At 38.0% G+C, this 22,330-nt stretch overlaps 1 protein-coding gene across 4 annotated transcripts in view, besides 2 other annotated features; it reads right to left on the reverse strand.

The window, feature by feature from the left end:
* SLC9A9 (solute carrier family 9 member A9) overlaps positions 1–22,330 on the reverse strand; it is a 583,247-nt gene that overhangs the window by 258,053 nt on the left and 302,864 nt on the right. The window lies entirely within an intron of this gene.
* Positions 12,857–12,906: an enhancer, noted in NCBI's record as "active region_20655". NCBI's record gives its function as "activates an Ori minimal core promoter by ATAC-STARR-seq in GM12878 lymphoblastoid cells {active_cell/tissue: GM12878}" and the evidence as "EXISTENCE:reporter gene assay evidence [ECO:0000049][PMID:35858748]".
* Positions 19,955–20,133: a silencer, noted in NCBI's record as "fragment chr3:143262071-143262249 (GRCh37/hg19 assembly coordinates)". NCBI's record gives its function as "represses an EF-1alpha promoter that drives an FKBP-Casp9 reporter gene in an ReSE screen in K562 erythroleukemia cells {active_cell/tissue: K562}" and the evidence as "EXISTENCE:reporter gene assay evidence [ECO:0000049][PMID:32094911]".

Raw genomic sequence — 22,330 nt, forward strand, 5'->3', positions numbered from 1 at the left:
TTTTATAAGGCAGGAAGAAATCAACTTGTACATTGAAATGAAAAATCTGTATAGAAATAGCTTTTTGTCTTTTACAATACTCCAAGACCCTGAAGAACTTCATATTTTTGTTAATTTCAGAAAAAATCAATAAGTAAAAACAATTATATAATTAGTTTTATCAAAACTCCAAGCTAATCATAGTAATCACTCCTCCTCATAACTTGTACCTGTTAAGATCTCTTATACTTAGTGTTAAGTCATATAAAGAAAGTGTTGAGGTGGGAAGACACAGCGTGAATCCCAGCTCTTCGGTTGCATGCTGTGTGAACTTGTGAACTTGAAGTCCCAACGTCATTTTATGTAAAATTGGAGAATTTAATACCTACTGTGCAAACTTGTTATATACTTCCCTTTCTGGCAAACATGAAAGGATCGATGAAGGGTAATCATTATCATTATATTTTTCCATAATCCTCTTAATGTCCAGCCCATAGGGATTCCCAATTAATAATTGTTGGAAGACAATAAATCATGACAACATTGTGAATATTCTCTATACCTAAGGTAAGTAAGCAATAAAAATGTAATAAAATACTGATGGTAAATATATTTATTTTTAATTCCGCCATATAAGCTATATAAAACGAAGAAAGATTTGAATATAAATGTCTCTTCCACCTAAGTCAAACAATGATATCTAATGGTACTGTTATTTTCTGACATGCTGAAAGAACAGGATTCTGTGGTCCTTTCTGAATGTAGACTTTAATGCCTTAGCAGGTCAGATAGAAGACTGAGAAAGGAAGACCAGAATGTAGAAGGAAGATCAAGAAAGGGCTGGGTGTTTCAGAGAAACCAAGTGAAGAGAGGGGTTTTGAAGAATGCTCCTATTATCTACAATGAAAAATGCTACACTGAAGATAGAAAAAAAAAAAACTAAGAGAGATCTAACAGCCTGAAGAAACAAATATGGGGGTGGGGGATGGAAAGGATGACCCAACTCACTGAGATCCAAGACCCTGCTGAGATAGAAGAGGAGAGGGATAGAGGCTGAACTGAGATGGGAGATCAAGATTAATAGACTTCTTATCCAACTGATGGCCTCAGTTGTCTCTGTCAAGCTGAGGGCAAGATGGTCAGTGAATATGGCCAGGGAGAGATGAGAATAGAGAATATGCAGAGAGAGAAACAGATCAGCTTTAATAAACAGAGAAGATCGTGCCGTGACTACATTTTCTTTTTTATAGGTCAATGGCCATTTTGAAAATGTTTGACAGTACTAAAATCAGCTTATGCATATTTTTTTGAAATAAGGCCCTATAATTTAATCTACACTAAATCATTCAGACTTTCCAGAGCCCCTATCATTATGACTAATTTGTTTAGTTAGATTTCTTAAGAGTATACATCTCTATCAAGATGAAGCTATGATTTGAATATGGTTTGTCCCCACTAAAACTTATGTTGAGACTTGGTTCCCAGTGAGACAGTGTTGAAAGGTAGTGACTTTACGAAGTGATTAAAATGGATTAATGTCTATTTTTCAAGATTGGGTTAGTTCTCATGAGAATACGTTGTAATAAAGTGAGCCTGCCTCTCCTGTTTTGCTTCTTTGTACATGTCTATTTCTCCTTCTGCTTTTCTGCCATGTTACGATGCCATAGCATGAAGCCCACATCAGAAGCTAGCCAAAGATGACTGCCTGATCTTGGCCCTCCCAGCCTCTAGAATCATGAGCTAAAAAAGTCTTTCCCTTATAAATTATTCAGTCTCAAGTATTCTGTTATTGCAATGAAAAATAGACTAAGACAATGAACAAAACATATTGAATGCTATATAGATGTCAAAAGAAATAGCGAGCCTAGGCAAAATATGGGTTACCTATGTAAAAAATGCTAACCAAAGGAGGATGAAGTTAATTTAAGAACTAGTTCTTATCTTTTTTAGACTTATGTTAAATGTTATTTCTCTTTTTAAAATAAATTATCATTTAAATTAATACAGATCAACTATGAAAAGACCTCATTGTGAACAGTGAGGACAAAGCTTCTGTAAGCATTGATTATATGCCAAATGATATCCCTGTGTGAGGTAGATTCTATCTGATCCATTTTGTAGATGAAGCCTCTGTGGCTTAGGAAAGTTAAGTGACATATTCAAGATCACACAGCAACTAAGTGGCAAGTGTAGACTCTAATCTGGCTCTGTCAGCCTAGTGACTGATACTTTCTCTAGAAAGTGGAGGTAGCATATGAGTCTCATCTTCCCAATCATCCCACAAGCTGCCCTTCGCTCCATGTGTCTCCTGGGGAAGTATTTCATCATTTACTCTGGAAATAGCATTCAAATGTCATCACAACCTTGCAGCATATTTCTGAGTCTGTGAGTACCAAGGAACATGTTGTCCCTTTCAAACATGCCCCTTCACTTAGATAATGTCAGTGAGTTTTTGTGGAATCTGATTTAAATGTATGCGTAAACAGGAAAGAATGAAATAATCAAAATCCACAGGCTGTGAGAGAAGAAAAGTAAATGATATCTAGTTACATTTATTTGACCAATAATGACAAAAGAAAAAAGAGAAATTAAAATTAATGGGGAAATTCTTAGTTATAACTGTCAAGCAGACAGTGCAGGATACAAAATTGTACATATACAGTTTATTCTTGATAAATGAAATAGCTACAAAAGACTGGAAGGAAAAAAATGTCAAAATATTAGCAGTTACAGTGGTTGCCTTTAGGCAACAGAATTGTCCTTGAGTCTTATTACTCTGTTTTACATCTATGAATATACTATGCAGTAAAGTCATTTTTATAAACAGAAAGATATAACTAAATCAAAGCCATCATTGAAAGCTTTTGGCCAGTGGCTGTGATGTCTAGGTCTTTTAAATCCACAGGGGAAGCTAAACCCTCAAACCACAGTCACATCTTCTTGTTTGGGGAAGATAGTGGGCAAAGCAGATGCCTAGAAGCACCAAAAGGAAGTCTGGAGGGTTTGTTTTCTCCTTCCAAAGAAGGGAGCCATCTGCGTCTCTGCACATGGAAGTTTCAATTCATGTGTGTCACAGCCATGAGGACATGAATGGCTGCCCAGGAATGCTTAGGGGCAGGCTGCTCTGTGGGCATTTGGTAACACAAGAAAAGAGGTGGTAATAGCCCAGCAATTCCAGCTATTTTTAATGCAACTCCAAGCTAATATACTTACTTCCTACATTTTAGCATCTATGCCAGGTTTAAAGAAACAGACCTGCCCCTAATTTAAGAGAAGAAAGGCCCCCTCCTGTCCCCCAAATTGTCCCTGCCATCATCCTTCACAGTGCTGCTGCATCCTGCCTCCTCACAGCAGAGCTCACCTCGAGCAACCAATTCCATTTTAAGGAGACAGAGAACAATTTATTCAACTTCAATTTGCTGAGAGGAAAAACCTCCTATTCTCTAATATTAATTCTTGAAGCCGATTCAAAAACAATTTTTGTTCCTTGCCAGGGTTTGAGGCTTTGAAAGATATTAATGTAGACAGTCTTTGAAATATTAGGAGTTTGCAGCCATTGTGAGGATCCTGAAGTTAGCAAGCATAAAAGGAAGTCTTAGGGCAAAGTATATGTTATTCTGTGTGTTGAAATATATATCAAGCTTCTTGTGGGGTAAGGGGCTTGGGCACCCCTGGGGAACTGTGGACTATATATAGATAAGTGTGACATTCGTTTAAAGCCGATCTGCCCTGTGAGAATGATTAGGTTTACTGGAGAGCTCTATTCTTATTTTAAAGTAAGTTTTTTACATCTCTAGTTCTGAAACACCCTCTATGCAGTTTTAGACATATACGACTTGTCTAATCCACAAGCCTATAGAGAATAGTGATGAGATGATAGCACATTTCGGTGCCTGCATTTCTCTCTCAAAGATTCAATATTTTCATTTTAGCTTTTTATTTTTACCATTTTTCACAGATAGCATGTAATGTATCTCCACTGTTCTTCTTCAAGCTTTACGGTAAGATTCATAAACTTCAGCATTTTAACTGAACACATCAGTCATATTGAAGCACAGTACCTCTAATATGGTTAAAGTGTTTTATTGACACGTGACAAAACTTGACAACTTGTGTTTTTTATTATTAGAATTTTCTAATGGTTCAGGAGAGTAAAAATTAGATAACAGTAGCACAAGGTTGAAGGAACTTCATTAGGTTGAGTTTGTTTTTTCACTTACTTGACTAGTTGTCTTTGTGCCACATAGTATGTGCTTAGTGGCATTGTGTCAAAATTTGTCAGGTCTCATACAATGAAGATATTCCTATAGATTCCCTGCTTCAGTCCATCTTATATTTTATCTTTCTAAAACACAGATGTGCTCATGCCATTGCTTGTAAATCTTGGTTGGTTCCTTCCTGTCTACCGAAGGAAAGCCAAACTGCTTAGCACCACATTCAAGACTCAAGACTCTTCAAGACTTAGCAATAGGTCCACATCCCTCCCAATGTTTAACCCTTCTTCCCTCAGTGCCTCAGCAGTGGGGCACAACCAAAGGGCTATGAGGACCACAGAGAAGACTGCTTTGCAGGAAGCAGTGGTCCAGGTAGAGGTAAGGGGCAGGATTAGTAGGACAGAGCATGGCACTTGATGTCAAGAACTGGGTAGTGTGCACTTGGAACAAGGTGAGAGGCATTGTCACCAGGCTAGGCTGGATCGTGATACAGCCAAGGCTAATTGGCTGTAACTGAAAGTAGATCTTTGGAGAGTAGGAGTTGGAGGAGAAGGAAGAACACTGAAAGCCAGAGAGAAATGGAGAAAATCATTTCCATGTCTTTTCCTCCAGGAACCACTTCCATAGGCAGGCTTTGCAGGAATGACAGTTACTCAATGTAGAGAAAACTGGATATCCCTCTTTTAGACTTATTTTGGGCTCAGATTCCTGTGTTCAGCTTTTTGCTCCACCATTATAGGCTCTGTGACCTCAGTCAGGTTACTTTGCTTTTCTGTGCCTCCTTTTAGCGGCCAGCAAAATGGAGGTAAGAATTATTGTTGGAATTAAGAATTATTAGAAGAATTCAGCATTATTGGAAAGATTAAACCAATTAACTCAGTTGTCTGTACATGATAGGCCCTCAATAAATCTTACCTAGTATTATGATGAGTTTGGAAATTTTTTCCTTTACACATTTAGGAAATAAGAAAGTACAGAAAGCAGAATTTGACTGCAGTGTGATAAGTGGGTGATCAACAAATCTAAGTTTGCTGTGATCTTTTCCCGTTTTAGCACTGAAAGTCCTCTATCCCGGTAGTAGTTGGTCACCCTATAACCCTATGAACAACTCTGTGAGGGTGGGAACTCTTTGCAAACAGAACATCAAGCTGCTTAGCACCATGAAAACAGCTGAATCACACAAAATTACCTTTTCTATAAGGTCTAAACTATCAAATAGCAGCAATTTCATATGGTCTGATCAAGTAAAAAGTCCTAGAAGAAGGCAAAGGAGAATAAGCCACCTTCTATACATTAACTCATGCCTGGGTATTTTTGTCCTTCTAGCTCAAAAGTAAAAAAAAAAAAGTGTGACAAATATGTCTTAAGTACTTACTGTGTGCCAGGCATCAGACTATCTGATAGGTCAGGAGTTTATTATCTTTACTTTGATTGATCTTCATGACTTATAAGTTAAGAGGACCAACAATATGAAATAGTGGAAATGTGAAGCCATCAAGAGCATTAACTCTAAACAGAAGGAAATAAGTCTAAAGGAGAATGTGTGTATCTTACAGATGAGAGGGACAGTGCCGGTGCCATGTGGGAGGAGACAGAGCTGCAGATGAGGAGGGTGAGTTACCCTGTGCCAACAACAGCGGGGTGAGCTAAGGTGCTTGAGGGTAGAGACGCAGTCAAGCCTCTCAAGCAAAAAATGCAGCAGCTAATTTCAGAGTGGGAAATGCCCCTCTGGGAGGAAGTCAACATCTTATGATCAGAACCGCAATACTGAGATAGCTAAGAAAACACAAATTCAACTTTTAAAACGTTTTTATAAAAACACTGGAGAGAGAAAAAGTCCAAGTTCACTTTGGCTTTTGGAAGAGACCCAGAGGATTTCTTAATTCATCTGAAGCATTTTGGCCTGAGTTCTATTAAAACATTTTTAATTCTTTGATATGTAATCCTCTCTAGGGGTGTGGATAAAACAAGGGCATTATGAAGTTTTGTTTAGGGAATGTCATCCCATGAAAGTATTTGCCAGTGGATTTTGGAAGGATTCAACACTGTTTTGTTGGATGGTTTTATATACCAGGTGAATTGAACACATGAGAGCAGGGATTTTTACTCAAGAAAACTTGAGAAGAACTGTAACAAAGGGAAGAGAATAGAAGTCATAGTTTTCAATTCCAAGGACTCAGTAACCCATCAATGATTACTGGCTTCTAGGGAGAGAGTTAGATACCGAGTATTTTGTTAAATGTTTTACATTTATATAAATGTATATAGTACTTATTCATATTTTATAAAGTCATTGATATGTACACCGAAAAGAGAAGAATTGAAAAATGGAAGACTAGGAAGATTGGACACTGTATCTGATGCTGTATTTCCAGTAAATTTAGCAAATAAAAAGTCTATCAAAGGAGTGCCCTATTTTGTTTCTGAATTTCAGATGAGCAGAACAGAAGCCACTCCTATGACTCTAGGACGGAAGAATGAGAATGAGGAAACTGGGGTTGTGCTTGCCTGGAGTCTAACCCGTGCACCACCTGTTATTAGAACCCTGGGAAAGCAGCCTACCATCCAGTTTTAGGTTTGGCTTGTTGAAGCTATTGACGTTGTAGCATGCACTGTACTGAGGGAAGGGAAGGGATACCTGGCTTTGAGTTTAGAGGGCTGTGGCTAACAAGTGGCTATAAGCAAATGAATTATCATGCCTAATAAAATATTCAAGTGATAATTACTAAGTTAGTGAGAGAGTTTGGCTGTGTCCCCACACAAATCTCATCTTGTATTGAAGCTCCCATGATTCCCACATATTGTGGGGGGGACCCGGTGAGAGATAATTGAATCATGGGGGCTGTTTCCCCCATACTGTTCTCCTGGTAGTGAATAAGTCTCACGAGAACTGATGGTTTTATAAAGGGAAACCCCTTTCGCTTGGCTATCATTCTCTCTCCTGCTTGCCACAGTGTAAGACTTGCCTTTTGCCTTCTGCCATGATTGTGAGGCCTCCCTAGCCACGCAGAGCTGTGAGTCCATTAAACCTCTTTTCCTTTATTATAAATTACCCAGTGTTGGGTATGTCTTTATCAGCAGCGTGAAAACAGACTAATACAGTTAGTAAGGAAAAACCTTGACCAAATGGAAAAGTGTGCATGCATTATCTCAAGTCCATCAGAAATCTGAAAAACAAAACAAAACAAAACAAACAAACAAACAAACAAAAACCAAAAACACTATTCAAATAGTTTTTGCAACATGAAGAAAAAGGAGACAAAATCAGACAACTGATAAGGGTTGGATCTGGCTTCTCACTGTTCTGTCAAGATGGGAGTTTCTGATTTAACCAGTGTCATATTGGTGGCTACTCTAACTGAATTCATTGAAAAATTGCCATAATGTGATTCAGGATTTGCCTCTGTCAACTTACCTCCTTTTAGCATTTTATGTTTTAGTTCATAGAATAAAATAATCCCATTATAGATAAGAAGCTTGAACTGCGAGATATAATTATGAGTCCTAATTCCAGCACTCAGAAAAAACACAACAAAATAACTGAAACAAAACCTAACATGCATATAGTGCTCATTATGAGCCACAAACATTTTGTAAAAACTAATGCATGAAAACTAATTTAATCTTTACAACACTATTCATTCAACAACAGCTATTTGGTGAGTACTTTTATAGATTCTGGTGCCATGAAATAGAAGCTATCATTATCCCCATTTATGAGTGAATCTGATACATCAACTCATGCCTCCGCTTGAGCATTTTGGCCTTACTTAGCTCTTGAGATTTCAAATGCTCCCCTGGCAAGGAAAGCAAACCACATCCCCAAATTTCCTTTATCCTGATCTTCATTTATAAGCCTCTAGAGACCCTGGTGAATAGAGCTGAATTTTATTTATTTGAGTTCATCTCAGAACAGTGGTAGGGCATCTTTTCATGTCTTTGGAGACAGAGATTCACATGAGGGAGAGAAGAAGCTAAAACCATGAGCCATCACAGAGTACATCTTCCTGCTGGAAGCAGCACTAAATCAAATAAGACATAATGTATAGGAAGTTTGTCTTAAAAACCTTTAGGAAGAAGGCAGTCTACACAAATCTTCACTGAGTTCCTTCTCATTTCCTCTTTCTTGTTGTATAATACAATATGTGGGTGTAAATTAAGAGAAACATTAGGAAAAATAAGACCAAATAATCTAGGTAATTGTTATTTAACATGTATGAATCTCATTTTAATGAAAGAGAACAATATCATGGCCTATGACATAGTAAGTTTAAAAAGCTAAAAACAAAACAATAAGGTAAAAAGTAAACAGAAATAAACTTACGTGTAGGGACGGTTCTCAAAGTATGACTTATTGACCTCTGAGACTCCCTGAGACTCTTACAGGTAGCTCATGAAGTTAACATGATTTTCAGACTGTTACTAAGACATCCTTTGATTTGTTCATTCTCATTCTATCCTGAGGATACAATGGAGGTTTCCAGAGGCTACATAATGCGTGATAATCACAACTGATTGAATGCAGAAGCAAATCTGATAATCCAGCTGCCTTCCATTAAACCAGAAATAAAAGAAATTTGCAAAAATAGAAAGTGTGATTTATGTTAACATGCAATGGATTTATCATTATTTTAAAATAAATTACTAAATATTTCTAAAATCCTCATTTTAAGTGTCTAATATGATAAACATTGATACATGTAATCAGTGGTATGCTGCTAGATGTTTAACAACTGGCTCTCTGGGGGGACAGGGAGAGCCCTGATTTGTAGTGCAAGCTGATTCCATGATGTAAATATTCCCACGATGGCAGATTTCAAGCTACCACTGAACCTGGTGTAGAGAGCTGGTTCCAGCTGGCTCCAGCACACTACTGGATATAATTCATACAAACAAAAACTCTTTGGGGCCTCAATAGTTTCTAGAAGTGTAAAGAGGTCCTGTTATCAAAAAGCTTGACAACTACCAATTATAGTATAATCACTTTTTTTGTTTAAAAATATCAATGGATATATACTTCTAAAAAGATATACACCAGTCTCTAATACAGCAGTTACTTCTTGAGTGGGGAAACTTAAATTTTACTTTACAAGCTTTTGTACCACGAATTTTTATAAAAATCATGAAACTCGAATATAAAAAGGAAAAAAACCCTCATTTTAAGGTTCAGAACTTGCTCAGAGACCTCTGGTCCTCAGTTTTCAAACGGTAAAATGTAGCCGACATGGGCTAGTTTGAGTAATGGGATTTCTTCCAGCCCTATAACTCTATGATTTAATGATATTTCCACTCATTCTGGTACATATCTCACTTAGATAATCACTTTAGGGATGCTAGGGCCCTTCAGTCCCTCAAGTGACCCAGGATCTCCCCTGTGATGAGGCCTCTGCCTGCAATGCTCTCATTCTTGCCAACGCCTTTTGCCTGTTCACACCTAATTATTCTTTAGGTCTCAGCTGAAGAGTCTCTTCTCAAGGACTTCTCTATTGGGGTCCTTTGTTATATAGCCCCAGAGAACCCTGTTACTCCCCTCAGAGAACTTAATCCTGTGTTGTGTGGGCCCCAAGGGGAGCAGGGCCCATGGAGGTTTTCACTAACTGCCCATGTGGGCCCAGGCCTGTACAGAGAACATTGCAACTCATTTATTCACCCACAAATAAAAAGTGATGACCTACATGTGCTGGGCACATTTCTAGACACTGCAATATAGCTGTGAACAAACCAGACCAAGTCCCTGCTCTCGTGGGGCTGACATGCCCTGGCTCACAGCGACCTGGGGGCCTTGCTCCAGGACATACCACAAATACACGAGCAGACCCAGGCTGAGAACCCAGGTCTTCCACATCTAGTGCTTGTCCTCCTACTTGCCTTAATTCCCAGATGCTGAGGTTCTATGAAGACTGACCTCAAGACACACAGGATAATTCAATATTTGTATCCTTTGACTTCTGGTAGGCATTAGGCCAGGTATTAATAATTCCAGAAGTCATAGATCCAAAGCAGAAGAGGCTCCAAAAAAGATGAAGACACAAAAATTTGGAAAAATGCAATAAGTGAGGCCACACAGATGAAGTAGTCAGACACATGAGCATACCATATGTGAAACACAGCAAAGCTGACCTTTGTTGTGTTACTGATGCATAACCATAAAAAAACCCTACATCTTTAGATATCATATATCAGAATCATTTGGAGGTAAGGGTATTTTTAAAAATGTGTCTGAGAAAGAGAGAGAAAGAATTTAAATAGGCCATTGTTGCAAATGCCTCTGTCAGGGAAAGGTCTTTGTAGTTAAAGTGAAATGGCATTTCTTTGTTAATGAGGGGAACATTTATGAAAAGCTCTATGCACATTTTTCAGAAAATAATAATGTAGATATCTCCTACAATGCAATACATTTCTAGGTTTAGTCCACCTAACCTGTTGTCTAAAATATAATGCAGTTTCTAACATAAGCATCCATGAATAAATTGAGTCATATCTTGCAAGTTGGAATAATTTACAAAGCTATGGCAAATGCTTTTATTAAAGATTTCATATGGTAAAAAGTGGGTATAATAATCACCTTGCCCATATTTCACTTAAAAACTGTTTATGGGAAGAAAGCCCACATTTTATACATTGAAAATTAATCCAGTTATTAGATGATACTTTGAAACTCAAGACCAGTTTATAGTAATTATATTAATTAAAAGATAATAATGTTTCATGAATCAGGCAAATCTGGAAGTCAAAGGAATATAAAAAAGGATGCTTTGGTGCTTTTTGAAATTTGAAAATAAATTCTAAAATGATTTTAAATAATGTGTAACTTCTACCCAGCAAAGCTACAAATCAAATCAATTCTCTGTTCACCTAGGTCAAAGTTAAAAAAGTGTGACCATGAAGTTTGATGGCCTGTACAATGTGAATATTTTATACTGGTTTCCTCAAAATGGCTGCCCAGAAGTCTGACATTCATTCCTGTGCTAATTGCTCTCTCCTGGAGCTCACTGCATTAGATGCCTCACCCAGAGCTCTGGAACTGCTACTCTCCAGGGTCAGGCAATGATGCTGCTTGGATACAGATGGTGGGATTTTTTTTTAGCAGGCAGACCACTGGCTGATGTTAAGCTTCAGGGCATTTTGATACACAAGGTTTGGGTTTACTCCCAGGAAGTGTCAGAAGGGCAGAGCTGGGGTCCTGGCACCTACCTGCGCCCCATGTGCTGACCAACAGGGCAGATTTAATAATTTCTTAATGACCCAAGTGGGTGCTAGGCTTGATGTCTGGAAACTCTGGTCAACAAGTTGGGATGCTGAATAGCGGGATCAAAAAGATGTATTTGGATAAATACATTCAGTTTGGCTTGAGATTTTCTTTAAATTGCAACACTTACTGAAGTCATTGGGAAACTATACACCTAACATTTTGCTTTAGAAAAAACCTTAAAAACAGTCACTTTTTTGTACTCTGTGGCATAAGCTGAAGCTTTTGATGCAATTTAAAATCAAGCATTTTTTTCTCCCAAATAGAATTCCAAGGTTGAGGCCTTAAAAAAAGTGATAGAAAAAGTAACTTTGATCACATGAATCATATACATGTTTGGGTGGACAACAGAAATTAAACCATTCTTCTTTTAAAAGGAGATCTGGTACCTAATTCCTATATGTTACCACTTAAATCATAATCCTTGACTAAAGAAAACATTCAGGAAAGAATAACTTAAAAGCACTGAGAAGGCATATTCAAGTCGAAGTAAAATTAAGCTACTGAAGAATAGACAGACTGGAGCAAGTCTTAAAGACAGGTTAAAACACTTTAGAGTTCTTTCATGAAAGTTGGAATATTTTCTATATCACAAAATCCACTAGTATATAATGTTTCTGAACAGAAAGATACATGTTAAAAGCTAAAAACGAGTCAGGTCATATCTTTTTGCTTTCTGACAACGATATCAGAGCAGTATATTTTAATGTCCAGTTGAACATTATCAGTAAATTTACTTTCTTTATTTTTTGTTTGTTTAACTTTGGAAAACATTGTGTAACTTGCTTAATATTAAGCAGCAAAATGCACTTTTGGAAATAGGATTTTCTTTATCTATTACCAACGAGTTTAATATGTTCCTTATGGTGATAAGAGATTTTACAGTACTTTCGACTTAAGATACAAAGGTGCTTTTCACTGGGGAAGGGATTTGGTAGTAGAATAAGGTATTCTAAGATGAATGCTCTTGAGAATGTTAAAGATTCTACAATTCGTAACCCAAATATATATAATAATATTTTCACATAGATTATAACTTTAAATACACATTTGATTCTTCTTTACATATTTACTCCATTATATATAAAATGTTCCACCCATACACAGTCCTGAACATTATCAAAGTGTACCTTAGCCATAGTTTCTAAGAAATAGACAAGATGAGTTTTCTCCTAATTCACACATGGTAGAGAATGCTAATTAGAAACACAGCTGATGAGATTTCATTACAGTCTCTTAAACCTCCAGAGAATTGACACTGAGAAGATACTACTCATTGGGGCGCCAAATAATTGTAGGTGGGGAAAAAGTGAAGAAATTTTACTGTTTTCTAGAATTATCTATGGCATAATAGAATAGATAGCAAAGGTTCCTATAGATTCTATACCTAGTAACTTTCCAGATGTGTTTCATGAAATGCATCATATGTAAATTACTATATGAAACTGAAACTGGAAAGTGAGAGGTAAGCTGGAGGTTACTTTTGACTCAATAGAGATGAAAGAAAAGCAGCTGGGTGAGGTGGGTAAAGAACTGGACTTGGAATCAGTTCCAGTCCCATTTTCCCACCCATGTTTACTTGTGTAGACCCATGTAAATTACTTATTCTCTCTCCATCCCAGCTTCCTCCTCAGTAAAATAGTTGCCAATAATAGCCCGCTGGTTATTGTGAGGGTCAAAGGTACTAATTTTCACTAACTGGCACCTATTAGTCCATAAATATTAACCAAATTTGTATTTTACTAAGTTTAAAATCAAAGAAGTGAAAGTAGATTCCCATTTTTTAATGTAGCCTAACAGTTTTACATGCTGCGATTACTACAATGAATCTGTGCATCTTAAAGTGAAACCTCCATTTGTGAGCTTCAGGCAGGCAAGCAAGTCACTGTAGAAGGGAGCTTGACAATTGTTCTTTTTGGTTTTGACTGTGGGACTGCCTTCCCATATCTGAGAACTGTGGGAATACTTATTTGGGTAATGTCTTAGAAACACCCTGCCTGTGAATATAAATGTACTTATACAAATAGCCAAATCTTGATAGTTCTAAGTCTCCACCTACTCACACAGAATATAAAATCCCTTGCAGAGTTTTCTTTTCTCTTAAATATTTACAGGACTCCCCAAAGGGATCTTCATGAGTGACATTACTGTGCCCTAGGTCACTGGTTCTCAAGCGCTGCTGCATATTAGAACCATCTGGGAAGCTGGAAACAATCCTGCTGCCCACGCTGCACCTCCTGCCAATTGCATCAGAATCTCTGGGGGAGCCACTGGCCAGCAAGATTTTTTAAACTCTCTAGAGTCCCAAGTCCCAAGCCTATCAGCATGTGGTTTCCCCTTGAACTCACTTGGACAGTTTGGCTCTGATCTGCTGAATCCAAAACCACACCTGCAAAATGACAGGACCTCAGCATCTGGTGTCCAGCATCTGGTGTCTTTCTAGATGCTCAACTCTGGCCACTCTTTAGAATCACTTAGGTAGAGTTTAAAATACTGCAGCTGAGGTCCCACTCCAGACTAAATAAATTAGAAATCCTGGGCATGGAGCCCGGGTATCTGGGACTTGTAAAAAATTCTAACATGCACCCAGGATTGAGCATTACTGCTCTGGGAGTTTCCAAGAGGAGGGAGCTGGGTGGCATGTGTTGTCAGAGCCTGGAGCTGCCCATCCCTCAGCTGCCTGCACCAACCTGCCCTTGCTGGGTTCCAACTGCAGCCTGTGCTCCCTCCCCACTGCTGCCCACTCTGCTGCCACCTGCCACCTGCAATTTCAGGACTGCCTCACTCCTTAGAGTATCTGCTATGTTTTCTGCCTCTGGCAGCTTAAGCTCCATCTTTGACTGTCTGTCTTGGCTACTTATTTCTCTTCAATTAGCAGGAAGGTACTTCATTTTTATGTGTTCAGTTCTTTCAGAGATGGTCCCTTAGAGTTGAGCATCCACTCAAATTCTTTCAAGTTTACATCTCAGCATTCCGGGGATGGGGTGGGCTCCAGCAGGGTCACTTGTGTTCCCAGGGAAACAATTTACTCCCCCCGAAACTTTACCATTTAGTGCCTCCCTTTCTCAGAGTGCAAGCATACCAGCAGGCAGGTGGGTTGGGAGGGCCAGCTTCATTCTCACAGTGTCCCACAACAGGATGCTGGCCCTCAGGCTACATCAAACTCCTTTCCATTTATAGGAATTTTCCTCTTAAAGGTTTAGTTATCTTTTCCTGTGTCTGACTTCTTTCATTAGCTTCTTTTCACACATATATCACTACATGTCTAAATCCCAATTATGGATGAAATCCAAATTCCTTCTTTTGGGTTGCCTAGGCCTTAGGTCCATGAACATTCTGGAACCTATAATAAAGTGTTTTCTGCCTAGAACATAGGGAATATCCTTAAAGAGTGATGTTGCCTTATTCTACAGGCCAGTATATCCAAGTCCTACAAACAGCCCAGAAATTACATGAAACATTTGGCAGGGTCAAATGAGGAAGAAAATGTTCCCTTAAATCAGACTATATTTTTTCCCTGGAAGGTTAGATTGTCTCAAACTCTTTTAGTCTCTAGTATGCTTGGATGAAGCAAAAGACCCCTATAGACCTCAACTTGGTACTATAAGAGCAAGCCAAAACCCAAACAATAAATCAGTACAAAGGGGAAGAATAGTAGTGTTTTCCCTAGGGGATACTGCAAATTATTAAGTTATGCCAGAAATGAATACAGGCAGTGTCGTAATAATGGATCACTATGACACCAGCCTGCAGACCACCATTTAAGAACACCTGAATAAGGACATAAAAAGTTAAAACATAATTTCTTTTGTGGCCCTAGGGAAGACCTCGGCACTAGTCACAGAACTTCACATTAACCATCCAGAAACCTGGTGTGTCAGAATTCAGAATACTGAAACTCTGCCAGGACTCATTCCAAGTGCTAGCTCTGATCTCTGTGTGCCTGTCTGTTTCTAGTTGGCCAAGAGATCTTCTATCCCGGCCCTACGTTATAGGCCCCCATACTATAATCAGAGCAACATCTTCAGAAAGAGAAAGCAAGTCAAGGGCTAGGGTATGAAGCAATTGTCCTGGAAACCCCAAATCACACTTTCTCCAGATGTGAGTCTCAATGATCATGTTTTCACAGATCTCTAGGGGAAAAGAACTGTGTGAATTCATATACTTACAGTGACTAAGGCAAGGTTAGACATTCTTTCCTAACAGAAGCATTCCTTTATTTTTCAACAGGGATCTTTTCCCTTCCTGTTTGTTCTTGAAAATTTAATTTGAACAAAGCAAGGCACAGCACAAACAAGGAAAAGAAACCTGTTTTAAAGCAGAGATTTTTTTTTTAACAGTTAGAACCAGTGGAAAAATACAACAGTAATAGTTTGTTACCTAGGTATTCACTGTTGAGGCAGGTCTATCATAACAGTTTATTCTCCCTTAAGAAGAGATTGGTCACAGCTGATTCCAATCAAGTCCTTTTTCAATGTAACCCAGAGCAATTGTATTAAGTGACTCTCCTAAAACCAAACTCTTGTTCTCACTTGTTAGATTTCCCTCTCGGGTACTTTATTAGGAGTTATATATCATATCTCCACTGATAGGATTCTTTGGATTTTTGAGCTGTGCCTCCAGAAGCAATTCAATTTCTTTTCTGAAGGAATTGCACAAAGACTTAACGTTTTATTAAATACATTTGCTGCATCTTTCAAGATTATTAAGGAAATGGCATCCTTAAATTTGGCAACATTCTTTAACAAACACATGCTCAGGCACACATATTCAGCCTTGATGTTTTCTGCATTGCATCAATAAAATTTAATTGAAATAAGTAGAAAAATTACAGTAATTTCCATTTATCATTCTAAAATGCCATTATGAGACTGAAGCCCTTCATACTTACACCTATCAAACAGGATGATAAAACTGTAATGGGCTATTAAAGGGGGTTATGCCATTGCCATCCTTAGAAATTTTAAGGTAATAGTGGGCGACCATCTGTCTTGAGTGTTATCAAAGCAGGTACCAGGCCAGCTGATCTCCTAAATTCCATTCATATAAAATTTTCCATTATGCATTGAATCAGATCCATACATAGAAGGACATGAAATTTATATGTTGATATCCAAGCTTTGATGATGGTAGTTTTTGTTTTCTAAAAGTGAAAAATTAAGAGAGAGAGAGAGAGAGAGAGTGTGCAAGTGAGCACTATCTTTTTAAGGAGTTGGGGCTCTACATAGTGAGAAAGAATACAAAACCATGATTTGGGGGAAAATATAATAAAGAAAATTAATATTTAGAAAAGGCTAAATGAGGTAAGTATACTTTCTTAGGGCTTGGTGGGGATGAGAAAGAAAAATTAAGGGAAGATTTTGGAGACTTGTTAGTAAGACATTTAAAGGTAAATTAGTATGTGCCACCAAGACATTGCCTATTGGGTAGAGATAGTCTTGGGAGGTGACTCTGATACAGAGCCTTTTATGATGGTGATAAAGAAGCAGAATAAAACAACAATAACATTGTTCAAGTACTCTTAGTTATGTAGAATGCTGATGAATCCTGAAGAAAGCAAGCCAGCAGAGGCAAAACAGAATAATATCTGTCATAAGATAAATAGGTGAACAGGATAGATGATGAGACAGCACCAATATTTTGGTGAAAAAAGAAAAGACTATTCTTGGCTCTACCTATTAAGGCCCTCTCAGGGTTGTAGTAAAGCAGGGAAATAAAAAAATGGAGGAGAGTGGTGATCTGCAGGAACGGAGTTCCCTTCATCATCCTCTGTTAAGGGGACAGGGAAGAAAAACAGAAAGCCCAAGGAGAGGAAGAAGAATGGATTAGTGATAAAAGGATAAAACAATAGAATGCATAAATAAATTGAAAATGATCAGGATCACGTGTAAAGTTTCATAAATTTAATAAAAGGGGAAAATACATGCATGCAATTTTCTGTAAGAAAAGGTCTATACTCAAATACATACAAAGGACATTAAAAACAACGAGTTGTGATGCACTACTCTATTCTTTGTGTGGCCTTAACTTCTCTAAGACTATAAAATCTGATTAATAATAGTCTTCACCTTGTAGATTTTATGTGAACATTAATAAGAATAACTTATATGAAACATATATGTTCAGTGCCTGACACATTATAGTGTTCAACAATTGTTGATACTAAATTTTTTAAAACCTGGGTAGGATAGATGGTTTACTAAGAAAATGGATATGGCTAAAATTGAATGAAGAAGCAGAAAACCTAAATATTCAACCATATACGAAATTAAAAGCACTATCAAACAATTTCTTCCAAAAATGGCATTGGGTCTCCTGGTACTTTAAAATGTCCACAAATTATTTGACACCCCTTCCCCCACCACCACTTCAAAATGTAAATGAATTAATCCCCTCCCATTGCTCATGGTCCAATTTTACGGAATCGATTCTAACAAATAGAATATGGCAGAAATGACAGTAAACAACTTTAGAGACTAGTTAATCAGAACCATTGCTTCTGTCTTTTTGCTCTCTCTGGTTTCACTTGCTCTGGGCAAAGTAAGCTTTCACATCACGAGGACACCCAAGCAGCCCGATGGAGGACACAGGTGGAAGAACTGAGGTCTTCTGCCAACAGCCACGTAAATGAGGCTCTTGGAGAGAATTCTCTAGCCCCAGCCAAACCTTGAGACACGGAAGCCCTGATCAACAATTTGTCAGCAACCTCACGAGACCCTGAGCCAAAGCCACCCAGCAAAGCTGATACTCCTGGATTCCAGGACTTCACAAACTATACGAAATAATAATACAAGTTTGTTGTTTAAAGCTGCTAAATTTGGGAGTAATTTGTTACACAGCAATATATAACAAATATACCAAATGTTTTTAGAGGCAGGTGCTGTGTATTTTTAATTGACAGTGCATATCCCTTGAGCAATGACCCATGTCCAGGTTGACCCTGGGTTGGAAAACTGGTCCAAGCCCTTGAAGTCATTGAATTTCCCTGGGTTTCAGTTTCCTCCAATAAAATTCTGGGTTCAAAAGTTTATAGTTTCCCTTAGCTCTGAACTTCTTTGATTTCATGACTTAAAATTTCCAACTGCAATTATATGCTATGATAAACAGATTTGTGGGTGAGAGAGTAGGACAGATTTAACTGAGAAGTTATAGTCCAACTACAGCTTTGTCAGATAAAAAATTTACATAAAATATTTTCAAGGAGAAACATGGATGTCTTACTTATCTTTATTTCTCCCTGGGTCCCAGTACCCAGGACATAGAAGGTACCCACTATTGAAGGTGCCAAATATTTATCTGTGGCTCCTACTATAATATATGTTGGTCGTGGAGTAAAGGCTTCTCAAGTAGGGAAATAATTCTTTCTGGGCACTGAAAGTACAAGGTGTTCTTGCCATGATGTGGGAGCTCCACTATCATTAGCATTTAAAAGGAAACACATATTAGCTGAACTACTAAATGTCCTTTATACAATATAATGAGTTTCATTGAAAAGAATCACCAGCTTAGCTAAGGAGAAATTTAAACACTTTGCCATCATTTATAAATTCAACCCTTCTAGGATGGTATTTTTAAAGATATTTTGAATGACGGAGAGAAGAAAAGTGGTAGAACTCTTTACAAAAGAAATGTAATTAGAGTAATAAAAAAAGGCAATTCTATGCTTTATGAAGATATCTTTGATCTTCTCGGAAGCCAGGGAGGCAGAGGCATTGTTGCCCATGACATTCTCTCTCCACTGTGCCTTGGAACAGGTAACTGGGATGGAAAGTGACTGCTTTTGTTAAAAGAAATAGAAAAAAATGCACAAAACCAAATCAAAAACCCACTGTAATGCAAATCAATAAGGCATGGACACACTGCAGGAAACACGCAAGTAATGGAATTGTACTTCATCTTTCTTTCAATATATCAAGATTACCCTAGACATTTGCCTTACGCATCCAACTCATTAAATTTAAATTAATGCATCATATCAGAACTAAATAAAACCATTAATTAGCATATATTCTCTTCTCTATTTTTTATCTTGGAATGTTAATGGTCATAATTCATTCACTCATTAATTTATTAATTCAGAAAGAATTTATCTAGCTCCTAAGTTCAAGGCAAAATCAGACAGTAAATTTCCATAAACTTTTCATATAGACCACAATATCCTAAGAGGTTAAACAGGACAAAAATATGTCTGGAGTCACAGAAGGTTAAGATAAATTTAGATGTTACATATGTACAGAGTTTACTAAAAAGAAGTGTGGTGAGTGTTAAGACTGATGTCCTGGAAGTCACTTACCATGTTTTCTCATAACTAACCCTTAAAACCACTAATAGAGACAAAAATACTATGAATTGTCCAGTTTTTCCTCAATGATGCTATCATGGTTATCTTTGTAAGACAGAAATCTGATTATTATCATTATCTCTATGCCTAAAAGGCTTAACCAATTATTACCCTTATAGGATAGAATTCTTCCAAGGGGAGCATACTGGGACAGTAAAATGTTCATCTGGACTTACCTTTCCTTTTTCATTCTCAGCTGTCTTCCACACGCTTCCCTTCAGTGCCCCCTAACCTATACCAGCGGCCCACCCCTAACTATTTCTCTGAGGCAACCTGGGACCTAGTCACAGTGTGTTACCTCTGTTTCTGGGACTTGTCAAGCTTTTTTTTTTTTTCTTCTATTTTTATTTTAGATTGAAGGACTACACGTGTACTTTTGTTACATGGCATATTGCATGATGCTGAAGTTAGGGGTACGGCTGATCCTGTCACCTAGGTAGTGAGCATAGTACACAGTAGTTGTATTGTCAACCCTTACACTTTCCCTCCCTGCCTTCTAGTAGCTCTTAGTGTCTACTGTTGCCATCTTTATGTCCATGAGTGCCCAACGTTTATCTCCCATTTACAGATGAGAACATGTGGTATTTGGTTTTCTGTTCCTGTGTTAATTTGCTTAGGATAATGGCCTCCAGCTGCATCCATGTTGCTGCAAAGCACATGATTTCATTCTTCTGTATGGATGTGTAGTATTCTGTGGTGTATATGTACCACATTTTCTTTATCCAGTCCACTGTTGATGGACACCTAGATTGATTCCATGTCTTTCTTATTATGAATAGTGCTGCAGAACATATGAATGCATGATTTTTCATAGACTAATTTTCCTTTGGATATATACCAAGTAATGAAATTGCTGGGTCAAATGGTAGCCCTGTTTTAAGTTCTTTGAAAAATCTCTAAACTGCTTTCCATGGTGGCTGAACTAATTTACATTCCCATCAGCAGTGTATGAGTTCTCTTTTTCTCTACAGCCTCACTAGCATCTGCTTTTTTAAAAGAGCCATTCTGACTGGTGTAAGATAATATCTAATTATGGTTTTGATTTGCACTTCTCTGATAATTAGTGATGTTGAGCATTTTCTCATATGTTTCTTGGCCACTTGTATGTTTTCTTTTGAGAAGTGTCTGTTCATGTCCTTTGGTCCTTTGTCCAATTTTCTTTTTCTTTTTCTTTTCTTTTTGTTTTTGAGACGGAGGCTCGCTCTGTCGCCCAGGCTGGAGTGCAGTGGTGCGATCTCGGTTCACTGCAAGCTCCGCCTCCTGGGTTCATGCCATTCTCCTGTCTCAGCCTCCCAAGTAGCTGGGACTATAGGCGCCTGCCACCACGCTCGGCTAATTTTTTTGTATTTTTAGTAGAGACGGGGTTTCACTGTGTTAGCCAGGATGGTCTCGATCTCCTGACCTCGTGATCCGCCCGCCTCGGCCTTCCAAAGTGCCCTTTGCCCAATTTTTATGGGGTTGTTTTTTTGCTCATTTAGTTGTTTAAGTTTCTTATAGATTCTAGTATTAGATCTTTGTCTAATGCATAGTGTGTGAATATTTTCTCCCATTATGTAGGTTGTCTGTTTACTTTGTTGATAGTTTCTTTTGCTGTGCAGAAGCTCTTCGGCTTAATTAGGTCCCACTTGTCAGTTTTTGTTTTTGTTGTAATTGCTTTTGAGGACTTAGTCACAAATCCTTTCCCAAAACTGATGTCCAGAATAATATTTTCTAGGTTTTCTTTTAGGGATTTTATAGTTTAAGGTCCTACATTTAAGTCTTTAATCCATCTTAAGTTAGTTTTTGTGTATGGTGAAAGGTAGGGGTCCAGTTTCATTCTTCCGCATGTGGCAAGTCAGCTCTCCCAGCACCATTTATTGAACAGGGATTCTTCCCCATTGCTTTTTTTTGTTGCCTGTGTCAAAGACCAGATGGGTGTAGTAGGTGTGCAGCTTTATTTCCGGGTTCTCTATTCTGTTTTATTGCCCTATGTGTCCATTTTTGTACTGGTACAATACTGTTTCGGTTACTGTAGCCTTATAGTATGGTTTCAATTTGGGTAACTTCATGCCTCCAGCTTTGTTCTTTTTGTTTAGGATTGCTTCCAAGCTCTTTCTTAGTTTTATATTTTTGCATACTCTATTCTTTTTGATTTTATCCTCCATGAAATCTGCGTGACAATATCCTAATTAACTCTACACCCAAACTCCAAAACACCCAACCCAAAAACCAGCTTCTCATGAAAACCTTGCCTCCAGTAAGCAATTCAGTTCTCTGGTTTCCATGACATGTTGTGCATCCCTCCATGTTAATATCTGCCACATGTGGTTGTTTGTGCATGTGAGTGCATGCATGCATATGCATATGTATGTTTGTGTGCATGTGTATGTCTTCTGCTATATTAGGACCTCCAAAGGACAAGAACCACGTGGTATTTGCCCTTGTCTCCCTGGCTTCCAGCATGGTGCCAACCATGCAACTACTGTAGTTCTTAGAACACAATTAGTCCATATTTGAATTCAAAAGCTGTAAGGTCTTCAGTCATATCCTGAGATGCTGAGTTGTAGC

Source organism: Homo sapiens, chromosome 3, assembly GCF_000001405.40.
Source record: "Homo sapiens chromosome 3, GRCh38.p14 Primary Assembly".
NCBI classification, from domain to species: Eukaryota; Metazoa; Chordata; class Mammalia; order Primates; family Hominidae; genus Homo; species Homo sapiens.